Source organism: Homo sapiens, chromosome 1, assembly GCF_000001405.40.
Source record: "Homo sapiens chromosome 1, GRCh38.p14 Primary Assembly".
NCBI classification, from domain to species: Eukaryota; Metazoa; Chordata; class Mammalia; order Primates; family Hominidae; genus Homo; species Homo sapiens.
Window position 1 is genome coordinate 31778477 of NC_000001.11, and position 11759 is coordinate 31790235.

The following is an 11759-nucleotide window of genomic DNA, read 5'->3' on the forward strand; positions in this document are numbered from 1 at the left end:
GGGGGCAGTGGCAAAGCAGACTGAACTGCAGCATGAAGGACTGTGGGCAGGCTCAAGGAAGAACCTCCTGACCATCAGAGCTCAGGTGATCCCTAAAGTGATCCCTATGGGGAAGAGGAGGGGGCTTCACCTATCCAAGGGGTGTCGGGAAGAAGAAGCCGGGGATGGAACACAGATCTTTCCACAGGCAGGAGGATGACCTGGCTGACTTGCCTGAGAGCTTGGTTCTCACCCGGGGGGCTGCTACTCTATCTCAAGGCCCATCGCTCACATTAATTACCGAGAAAAAGCCAATTTCTCCTCATTTCCAGACTCCAAATGACAGTATCATTAGGCTAGTAATGTGCGGAGAAATTGTGCGTGTCTGTCTTGGAATATGTCCTGAGCCAGAATGGATGAGGGCGCCCCCAGCAGGGGTTTGTCTCCAAGACACTCCCCATGGCTGAGGGCCAGTCTCCAGAAGAGATGCTGTGCCACCAGGGCAGAGATACTCTCCCTCTCTGTTCAGTTGGCACTAACAATGGTGATTAAATCATAGCAGGCAATGGTGTGGGCAATAGCCCACAACACAAAAACGCTGCCACACATGAACAGAGCCACTCTTGACTTACCAGAAGGACAGGAACTCCCTGGTCTGGGCTGAACTTGAATTTGAAACCTGTCTGCTGTGCCATGGTCCTTCCCAGTCTTGCCTGGACACTTTTCTCTGAGCTCCTATCCACCTGTGAACCAAGAGACATCTGGGCGCCATCTTGCCTCGGGGAAGGAGGAGTTGGCTGGTCCTGAACATTTTCTCTTCCCTCAGCAAACTCAGCTCCCTGGATGTGAGTGGAACACTGCCTCCTAGCCCTGAAAAAACTCGCCTCTGCTCGCAGCTCTTCACACACCTCTCCACACTCTTCATGTCTAGTGCTCATTTTTTTTTCTTTTTTTTTTTTTTTTTGAGACGTAGTCTCACTCTGTCCCCCAGGCTGAAGTGCAGTGGCACGATCTCGGCTTACTTCAATCTCTGCCTCCTGGGTTCACGCCATTCTCCTGCCTCAGCCTCCCGAGTAGCTGGGACTACAGGCACCTGCCACCACCCCCGGCTAATTTTTTGTATTTTTAGTAGAGACGGGGTTTCACCGTGTTAGCCAGGATGGTCTCAATCTCCTGACCTCGTGATCCGCCTGCCTCGGCCTCCCAAACTGCTGGGATTACAGGCGTGAGCCATGGCGCCGGGCCGTCTAGTGCTCTTTCAAACCCACTTGACACAGGAGGAAACTGAGGCCCAGAGAAGCAAGACGATTTGCCCAAGTTCAAGCCTCAGAGCTAGGCTTGACCTCCTGGTCTGCCCAAGGCCAAAGCTCAGACTGAAGCCAGAGGCCTCAATCCAATCCACGCAGTACTCTAGGCACACGACGTCCTCCGTCCCAGCTCCCGCCCTCAGAGCTGAGGTTGGTGAGGGAGAGGCAGGATGTGAAAATATAATTATAGCTCAGTGTGATGCATGCATGACACAAAAGAGGAGATCCAAAAGGTTTATCCTCCCCAGTAATCAAAGAAATGCAAATTAAAACAACAGTATAATGCAGTTTTACCTATTGAAATTAAGACAGGTTTTTGTTTTGTTTTGTTTTGTTTTTTAAAGATAGCACCAGCGTTGGTGAAAACTGCAATCTGGGCGCTCTCAGACTCCGTTGATGAAAGGGTAAATTAGAACAACTTTTCTAGAAGGCCACTGGGCAGGAGTGTCAAGAGCTTTAAAAACAGATAGACCCTTTGGTCCCATTAATCTACTTGGAGGAACTCAATCCAAAAAATAACCACAGCTGTTAAAAAGAACCAGGTACAAAGATGCTTATTACTGTTATTTACAACTATGAAAAATCACAACCAACATAAATGTCTAGCAATAGAGGGTTGGTTAAATAAATTATGATATATCCATATATAAGGATATTATGCAAACATTAAAAGTCATGTTCTTGAAGAAGTTTTAATAACCTGGGCAAATGCTCACAATATAATGATACATGAAACAAAGCAGGAAAGAAAACCATACAGATAGGATGGGCTTTATTTTATAAAGAAAATGTTTCATCAGTTTGTTTGAAGAAGTCTGGAAAGAAATAAACTGAGAGTTAACCTGAGAGGATTCTGGGTGATTTTCTGTTTCAATTTATACTGTTCTGTTTCTTCCAAATCTTGTATACATTTTCAGGGGGAAATAAAAGACATTAGAAATATATGCAGTGTGTGTGTGTGTGTGTGTGTGTGTGTGTGTGGTTGGGGGAGTAGCCCAGGATGTTAGGAGAAACAGAGACTCCTAACCCAGCCTGCTGGCAGTCAGGGAAGGCTTCCCATTGGAGGCAATGCCTGCGCTGTGTCCCACAATGACTAAGCTTTATCCAACGGAGGCAGGATTGGAGTTCTAGGCTGGGGAACAGGTATGTGCAAAGGCACAGAGGCAAAAGAGATCCTGGCCTCTTCTGGAAACTCTCAGTCACTGGTGTGGCTAGGTGAGGGGACAACAGGGAGAGGATGGGGGTGGACAGAGGCCTGACCAGGGAAGGCCCAGAAGACCAGGGTGAGGAACTGACACTTTGCTCTAGGAACAAAGTGGAGCGTTGCAAAGTGTCAGCCTCTCAGCCTGATCTTCTGGGCCTTCCCTGGTCAGGCCTCTGTCCACCCCCATCCTCTCCCTCTTGTCCCCTCACCTAGCCACACCAGTGACTAAGAGTTTCCAGAAGAGGCCAGGATCTCTCTTGCCTCTGTGGCTTTGCACATACATGTTCCCCAGCCTAGAACTCCAATCCTCCCTCTGTTTGGGTCCTAAGCAGGGGGGTGACAGGATCTAAGCTGTGTTTTATCTTCGTGAACACAGAATGGTGAGGGGATGGGGTGTGGGAGATAGAGAGAGGCCAGATGTGGAACCTGGGCCAAGGGGGCAGCGGTGGGGAGGCTGCTGCACGTCCAGAGGAGGGAGGGTTTGGCCTGGGCTAGGCAGTGGTGGCCAAGAGAGGAGGGGCCCTTGGAAGCAGTGATTAGGAGGAGATTGGACAGGACTTGGTGATTAATTGAAGAGTGGAGGCAGAGTGGGGGGAGGGGGCCTCTGCTGCTGACAGTGACTACAGCACGCTCAGAGATTTCGATCGCAGTTTTAGGAGTGGCTTCCTCCTCCATTTCCCCTAGATAGACAGATTTGGGGCTTCTATGATATTAGGCTGCAGAAGGTGGGAGAAGTTGACCTTGGTCCCGCCACCACACCCAGCCTGACCTCTGGCTCACCCTGAGCACCCCGCACCTTCGTCACCTCTGCACTGCCAGCCCTGGAAGGTGGGGCGGGCAACGATGAGGGAAGTCCACAGGGAGGCGAGGAAGTCCCCGGCCAGGTCCCTCCCTCAGGACACGGGCACACGCTGTCACACGCGGGGACACACATCCTCAGAGAGGGAGCACAGCCACCCACGGGGCTCTGAGAGTCAAGTCACAGGCACTGATGTATACCCAGGGGAGCTGTAAGATACAGGACTGTCACACACACAGTCACCACCCGACAGTTACACGGCCTCTGACACTGCCAGCCCCAGGCTGGGTCTCACACGCAGGCCATTATGCTCAGCCAGAGTCCCCAAGGTCCTCCCTCCTGCCCTGCCCCCCACACCCCACCCTCCTCCAGGAGGACAGGGCAGAGGGCTGGCTGGCAGAGAGGCCAGCACAGGGGGCTGGCATAGGGACCCGCAGCTCAACGGGGCAGCCCAGCCAGGAGGGAGGCCTCTGAGAAGGGGTTGCCAAGGCAACAGGCTCCTGCAGAACCAACCAGAGGCTGAGATTCTCGGCTCTTATTTTTAGAAGTTGGGCCTGGGCTGGTTGGGCTGGTCAGGGGCCAGGCTCCCCTGGGCATGCCCGGGACATAGACACCAGCCTGAACGCCCTAAGGGGTTCTGGTGGGCAGCATCCAGGCTGCAGCTTCTTCCACACACTCCCAGCCCCCTTCCTGGGGCGTCATGCCCCAGGTGGGATCTTGTATTCCCTCTGTCTTCAAATACAGCCAGGGACCTACCAGCAGCACCCACCACCCACCAGACCCCAGGCCAGGGACATAGCCTGTTCGCTCTCTGCACTGCAGCCTCTGAGTGTCTGTGCTTTGATTGATGGTATCAGGGGAAGCGGGGCTTGGCCAGGCCTGTAGGGTGGTGTTGCCAGGCTTGTGTCATTGTCAGCATGAGTGTATATGTGTGTATTGCAGGGGCTGCTCTCACTCTCAACTGTGTGTGTGAGCATGTGTGTGTGTGAAGTCCCTCTTCTATGGGGCAAAACAGAAGTCTCCCTCTGGCTCAGCTCCACTCACCACTCCCCGCTAACTTCCACCCCTGCCTGGATTTCTTTAAAGTGAGAGGAAGAGGCAGAGATCTCAAGCTGGGTGGGCCTTGGTGGCCCCCCTTGTCCAGCCCCTTCCTGTGACTGAGCAGGCTTCTGAGGGGGTAGAAAAGTGGTGGCCAGGAAGGGGAGAGGCCAGGCAGGCCCAGCCCGACAGAGCCTGGGAGAGGGGTACTGGGGAATCTGGGGTGAACTGACTTTAAGGTGACTCCTCCAGCTGCCAGGGATTTCTCTGTTAATCTGGGACGGCTCTGTTTGCATCTCATTTCCCTATATTTGCATAAGAAGGGCCTGGCTGGCACCAGAGATCGAAATTCCTGGCCTGGGTAATTGTGTGGAAAAGCCTCTGGAGGCCCAGCAGGAATCCTGGGGAAGCAGAGGCAGGGGCTGGCTGTGCTGACACGGAAGGTCCCCATCCAATCCCAGGAGCCTCCACTTCTTCCCCAGTCCCTGGTCAGGAGGGGTGGGGATGCCGGCGGAAACGGAGAGGGAGGGGTGACAAGATGAGAACTCATTCCAATATCGCTAAGAGAGTAAATTTCCAATGTTCTCATCACAAAAAAAATGTTAAATATTTGAGGAGCTAGATATGCTGATTAGCTTAATTTAATCATTCCACAGTGTATTAAAAAATCATAACACCACTTTGTACCCCATAAATACAACCGTAATTGGTCAATTTACAGTAAGAAAAACAATTCGAGTCATCCTCAACAGACCCTGGTACCCAGCATGGAGCTGGGGTGCGTACCCATTGGTGGAAATGGCCTGAACTTGGTAAGGTCAGAGTTGGGATGGGGAAGCAAAACTCAGCAACCTCTTTCCTCTCCACTCCCTCAGCGCCCACCAGTCTCGGGAGAGGGCCTGACAGGAATGACTGGGATCATATCTGGGACCTGCCACTTACTGTCCCCAGGACTCTCAGACCTGGGCAAACAAGGTCCATGCCCTGGGGTCCCATTTTAGATGACATCCTTTGGCCCTCTTCTGCATGGGGGTGAGGAATTCAAAGGTTCAGGGTCCACCTGGAGCTCCAGTCCCCTTCTAGGCCATATTCCAACCCATGACCCTGGAATTCCCTGCCCAAGGAGGCCTAAGCCAACAACCAGGGTCTATAGAGCCACTTTCCCATGTGCGTCCTTCCTCCTCAAGCCCAAAGGGTGGCTGTTTGCCAGGAGTGTGGACCTAGCAGGGATTGCAGTGTTGGGGTGCCCACCGGCATGCAGACAAGGGCCCTTATACTGCAGGATGGAGCCCAAGGTAGGATGAGAAGGGAGGTGGGCGGAGGGCTGGGGACCTCCTTTTGTGTTGTTGCCCTAGGCTCTTGAAACACTTGGGGTGGCTCTGACAAGCTGTTTGACCTTGGGCAAGTTACTTAACCTTCCTGTGCCCCCCAGTAGGGTTAATAATAGTACTTGCCTCTCAGAGTTGTTATGAGGATGAACTGAGTTAATTCATGTAAAGCAATTTGAACAGTGCCTGGCACAGAGTACCAGTGCGTAAGCGTTAGCTATTATTATCTATTATTCTAGGATTTGGCTTTTTTTTCTCTCTCTCTCCAGCTGCAGAAGCCCCTTCTCTTTCATTTAAGAGACTGAGCAAGAAGCAGGGAATGGGGATCCCCTCCACTTCCTCTTCCTCCTCCCTCATAGCCCAGGCCCCCTTTTCTCCTTTCCCAGCTCCTGCACCCCCAGGCCAGGATGCCAGGAGGGCAGCCAGGTCACTGGACTGAATGTCATGATTTGTTTAAAGTCTTTATTGGCTGAATGACTGAATGAGCAAGTGAATAAATGAAAAACAAGGACTGAGCGAATAAAAGTCAGACAGAAGGCTGGACGGACTGATGGAAGAACAGACTGACAGGCAGATGCTTTGGCTTTGGGGCCCTCAGATCTGTTTCCCTGAACATTATTGTTTTCTGCCTGTTTTGATTAGATGGTGGGAGGCAGATAGGGGAGGCAGGCTCTCTGCAAGGTCAGCTGTGGCCTGGCGAGTGGCTCACCCTGCAGAAGGGGCCCCTGTGCCTGTGGCGTTAGAGGGAGAATGCCCACATGCATCCAAGTCCTTCTGTGTCCTGTAGATGTCTGAGTGTGAATGAGAGACCTTGGGACAGGCTCTATCCTGGCCTGGGGCAGTGGGGGCTGAGGGGAGAGGCTGATGAGCTTCATTACTTCCTTATTTACACCCCAGCCTACTTCTGGCGGAGCCAGGCCTCAGTGCCCGCCTGGCAGCCAGCGGGTTAGCGGTGATGGAGAGCTCCCTTGGGGCCTGTCAGCCTCCACCATCTGGCCAGGCTGGGGAAGGTGGGGGGACCTGTCGCAGGATACCCCTCTGGGCCCTCCGGCTTGGCACTCGGCTCATCTCAGAGAGTGATGGGCAAGTGGACATGTGGGGGTGCAGCTGTGTGGGATTTTGTGTGTGTGGCCAGCCTGTGCACACACTGGCTAGGTCGGGGTGTCACAAGCAAAATGTGATGTGTTCGTATTCGTGACTGGCCATGTTTGTGTGTCTGCATGACTGTATTCTGTGCATGACAGTGTATGTCCCAGAACGCGAGCAAAGTGCATGGGTCTCACGTCTGGGGGTTTTCCCAGGGAAGCTCAGGGTGGAGACAAGGGTGGGGAGGGCTTGAGCCCAGTGGGGACTGGAGCTGTGGCTTTAAGAGGAAGGTGCTCAGTGAATTCCTGGCTCAGCTTTCAAGCAGGAGAAATTAACCTCCATGTCAATCTCTTGAAAGGGGCTGAAGTCCCTGTGAGGGAAGCCAAGTCAGGCTGAGAGCATCCCTGCCTGTCCTTGAGCCCCATTCCGGTGGTGGGCAGTGGGGGGACAACTCTGCTTTCAGGCACCATCCCAGGCTTCCCAGGGAAGCGTCCCTCCCTGGCCCCAGCACAGAGACAGGACACATGTAAAGCCACTCGGAAGTACAGGCACACAATTACCTAGACATGGACACTGGCACAGCGTGATCACACGTGATCCAGACACCCACATGTGTAGTCACAGATCTGCTGGGCACAGTACACGTACATATACCCAGGCATCATGAGACACTCACCTCATGCAGCCACACAGACGTATAGGCACATGCATGTTTACACACAGTAATGTGCCCATACATGGGTGAAACACATTCTTGCAAAGATGCACATGCTTAGAGTCACATGCATGCAGACACACTTGCATGTTTTCACACACATTCTGTCCCTCCCGTGTCCCCTCCCACCCTCCAGTTCTCTCTCAGTTCAATTCTCTCCAGTTCACTCCAGTTCTCTCTCAGTCCAGGGCCCTGCTGCCGCCCTCACCCACTATGGACAACCCTCTGAAGGGCATCACAGGAGGGTTGCATGCATATGTGACCCTATGAGTAAAAATCTGTGTGTGTCTACACGTCTGTTTGTATATGTGAGTGTCACTGGTAGTCTGTGTGGCTCTAGCTCTGTGAAAATGTATCTTTATGACACTGTGGGTATTTTTCTGTGTATCTCTGTGTATGCTTCTGGAAGGCCCTATGTGTGTCTGTGTGTACCCGTCTGTGAATGCGAGTATGTGAGACAGTGGGGAATTTTTATATCTATATGACTGCATTCTGTGGGCCACCTCTCTAAGTATGTCTGGATGTGTATATCTCTGTGTGCATTTGCATATCTGTGCCTGTGTACATGCCTCTGCGGTCCAGGATCCACAGTCTGGCTCAGTGGGCACCCCTGCCAACAGAGGCTGTGGCCCGGGGTGGGGCCAGGCAGGACTGAACTGAATACCCTGGCCATTGACAGTTGTATTTACAGAGCTCCGAGTAGGAACGTAATTGCTTCTATTAATCTTTCTCCGGTTGTTAATTGCTCACTTATCGGGTTGTGTATTATGCCGACTGTTGCTCTTAATTCGCCTCCATAGCTGCAGGTGTTTGCTGCCTTATTAACTGTTAATCGGCGCGACTAGGGATGGAGACTTAATTGGCCCCCAGAGTGGGACACAGGCGGGCCAGCCGGACACTGCCAGGCTCACAGCCTGTCCCTGGAACCCTCACCTGTGGAGCACAGTTGGCTGGCCCACCGCCATCCACCAGCAGACAGCAGTCTTGCATACAGCAGTCAGAGTGACAACTGCAGAGTATGGTCTCCATGCAGTCCTACCTCCTCCAGGAAGCCACTCAACCCCTTGGAACCCAGTTCTTACATCCCTGTCCATCACCAACAATCTTCCTCCACACAGGATAGGAGCCAACCCCAGTTTTTAAATGAACAAGAGCCTCCAGGAATTCTGCTGCTCCTATCCAGCACACTTAAGGGGTCCCTCTCGGCTTCTGCTTGCACAGTGCAAAGAACAGGGAACTCCCTCCATGGCACTGTTACATAGCTGCAGCAACGAGAAGGTTCTCCATACTGAGCTGACTTATTACCCCCCACACAAGTTGAAACAGAGGAGTCCTTACTGCCTACAACAGGGAAACTGAGGCTCAGAAAGGGCAAGGGGGTGGCCCCAGGGTTCCCCAGTCCTCTCTGGTAAAGGAACAGACATGTGGCTCTCCAAGCAGTTTCTGCTCTCAGTCTCCCTTCCATCCCAGTCCTGCTCCATCCCAAACACCTCAGTCCTGGAAGGTACTTCCTTAGCCACCACCTGCTCTGCCCTGGTCTTCGGGCCTCCCAAGCTCAGCTGTCACTGCTACAGCCGTCTCAGGCTCCAGGCCTTTGGGACAAGAAAGCAAGTTTTCTGGAAACCAGTGGGCTCCCTGAGAGAGACAAGGGTATAAGGGGGAGGCGGTAGGAGGGTCCACACTCACCAACCTGACCTCCAGCTTCCAAGAAGGACAAATAGAGAAAACAATAGTCCTCATCCTGTGCATCAAATCCAGTCTGCCCTGACATCTGGAAGTTCTTCTGGTGTCTAGTTGTCATGTCTTAAGCGGCAACTGAAGTTGATTTGCTTTGGTTGGGTTCTGAGAAGAGTTGGGCTCCAGGGAGGGAGGAAGGGAGCACCACTGAGTGCCTACTGTAGGCCAGAAAGCAGCAATTAGTGTGTGTAAAAGTGGCAACCAGTTAAACCCTCCCATCACCTGGTAAGTTAGAGATTAGTATCCCTGTTTACAGAGAAGAAAACTGAGCCACAGAGAGGGTAACTAAACTTGTCAAGGCCACACAGCCAGAAAAGGAATTGGAGTGCCAACAAGGCCTGGCATTGCTTGGGAAGCTGGGTGTCTTCAGTCAGGGATATCTGGATGGATTCATGCTAAGGGTTCAATAAGGGGACGTGGGGAAAGGGAACTGATGGTCACTGTCACAGCTCACTCATCCACCCCACATCTGAGAACATGGACAGGCTAAACACTCACGCATGCGCAGCCCACATGCCTATCAGACGGGATGAGGAAGAAGCAAAGAGAACCGTCCAGGGATAGTTGCCCAAACAAGTTCCGGCCCCGCCTCTATGTTAATGACATGCAGATATATGTAAATTTGTACAAGCAACCGCTCAAACCTTTGGGAGCAATGGGGTGACACAGGAGCAGTTGCTATGGAAATCCAAAAGCGATACCCGCTCTGCACCCCCACCCCCCTCACAGGCAGGCGCACAGACACGTGCACAAAGACGCAGGGTTCTTCACTCCGGAGCCAAGAGGATCACGGAGTGGCAGAGTGTGAACCGGAAGGACCCTCAGAAACTGCGTCCAGCCGGGGGAAGCTCAGGCCCGAAGAAAGTCACCGGGAGAGCAGTGTCGCGATCCCTGGTAGCCTGGGGCGCCTTCCACTAAAACCCAGGGCGCGAGGTGTCCCTTCCGGGTCCCGGGCGATTCCGGCTCCGGCCTAGCAACAACAAGCCCCGCCCAGCGTTGCATAGCAACGTCCCTGGAGCCTAGCAACCGTCAGTCACGCCCCCTAGCAACGTCATGCCTAATCCTCGCTCCAGGCTTCTGCCGAGAGAGAGAGGGGCAAGGGGCTCGTGGACTGGGGCCAAAAGGTGGCGGGGGTGGGGGAGGGTGTCATGTTTAGCAGGCTGCAGGATTTCGGGGCCCACCTACAGCCCTTCCACGGGCGAGCTGTTACAGAGCCGCGTTATCACCCCCATTTACAGAAGGGAAAACTGAAGCTCCCAAAGGAAATCCCTGCCCAGGGTACAGAGCTCGCTCTTGCCTGCGTGTTCCAGGAGAGCGGCTCTGGCGGCTCTCCGGAGGAAGCCCTGGACCTGGAGGGGAGGGAGTGCACACCCGTTTCCCTCCATACCAACTGCATTAGGAAAACCACCCAAACTGTGGGCTCAGAACCAAGCTGTAGGTTTGCATAGTAATTTGCGTCATTTGCATAGAGCGCGGAGGCTGCGGCGCTCCCAGGCCATTTCGAGCCGGAAAAGTTCCCGAAGGAGCCCCGCTCCCTCTCCCGGTTCAACTGTCCAGCCCCCTCTCCCTACCCCTCACCCGCACCCCACCCGCATCCTACCCCGCCCCCGCTTCCAACTCCTTGCGCTAAGTTCCCGCACCTCGCCCCACCCCCCGCTTTGACTCCGGTCCTGCCAGCCCCGACCTCCATCCCAAGGCCGAGGGCCCCCTCTGCTGTCGTCCGCGGGTAGGGCAGCCGCAGAGCTCATGGGGCAGAGAAGAAGGGCTCCCCCAACCGACCATCGCCCCACCCCTTCCAGTCCAGCAGGGGCCAGGGTGAGGCCTGTACATGGGTGGACTTTGCGAAGGGGTGAGCAAAGAGCGGGTAGGGCCCTTCTGGCCCCGGGGCGAAGGGTGGGGTTCTAGAGAGGTTCTCTCCTGGAAGCCAGGCCCCTTTCCCCACGCTGGGTTGGTTGGCCCTGGCAGCTGGTTCCCCCATCAGTCCGCAGATGCAGCTCTCTCGAGGTACACCCCACATGAAACGCTTGACAGTTGCAGTTGCTGTTAGAAGCTTGTTCTAGGCCCAAGGCAAGGCAGCACCGTCCAACCCTAATACCAGTCTCCAACCCCACCCTGAATGCCCACCACCAAGGCTAAGACCTTTGACATTTTCTAACACCAGTCTCTGGAATCTGGCAAGAGATACAGAGAGGAGTCACCCAATCTGGATCTCCTGACTTCCTCAACAGAGACCTACACACAGGCAGGCCATGAAACTCACACAGATACTCTCACATGCTTGCAGGCACACTAGTGCACAGAGATCCCTGAGAAGCACATAGACAGAGACTCGGAGGGAATATGGTGAAGGTATGTACTATCCTTCCCCATCTAGTCAAAGGAAAAAAAAATCTTAGTATTAACTGAAAAATTTAAAGTCCACTGCAACTTGCTTATCTTTTCCTCTCTAGCAATCTCTTGATGTCTGATGTCTGTGACCCTCCAAAAGGCTCTGTCCATTTCTCTCTCCACCCCCAACCTCGGTCCTACTTTCTTTCCCACCACCACCTCTTCCTCCTGGTTCAGA

General features: G+C 53.6%; 3 annotated features.

Moving 5' to 3' along the window:
- Window positions 9686-10461: an enhancer, noted in NCBI's record as "H3K27ac hESC enhancer chr1:32253763-32254538 (GRCh37/hg19 assembly coordinates)". NCBI's record gives its function as "activates a minimal SCP1, AML or CMV promoter by ChIP-STARR-seq in primed H9 embryonic stem cells {active_cell/tissue: H9 hESC(primed)}" and the evidence as "EXISTENCE:reporter gene assay evidence [ECO:0000049][PMID:30033119]".
- Window positions 10247-10296: a silencer, noted in NCBI's record as "silent region_577". NCBI's record gives its function as "represses an Ori minimal core promoter by ATAC-STARR-seq in GM12878 lymphoblastoid cells {active_cell/tissue: GM12878}" and the evidence as "EXISTENCE:reporter gene assay evidence [ECO:0000049][PMID:35858748]".
- Window positions 10627-10916: a silencer, noted in NCBI's record as "silent region_578". NCBI's record gives its function as "represses an Ori minimal core promoter by ATAC-STARR-seq in GM12878 lymphoblastoid cells {active_cell/tissue: GM12878}" and the evidence as "EXISTENCE:reporter gene assay evidence [ECO:0000049][PMID:35858748]".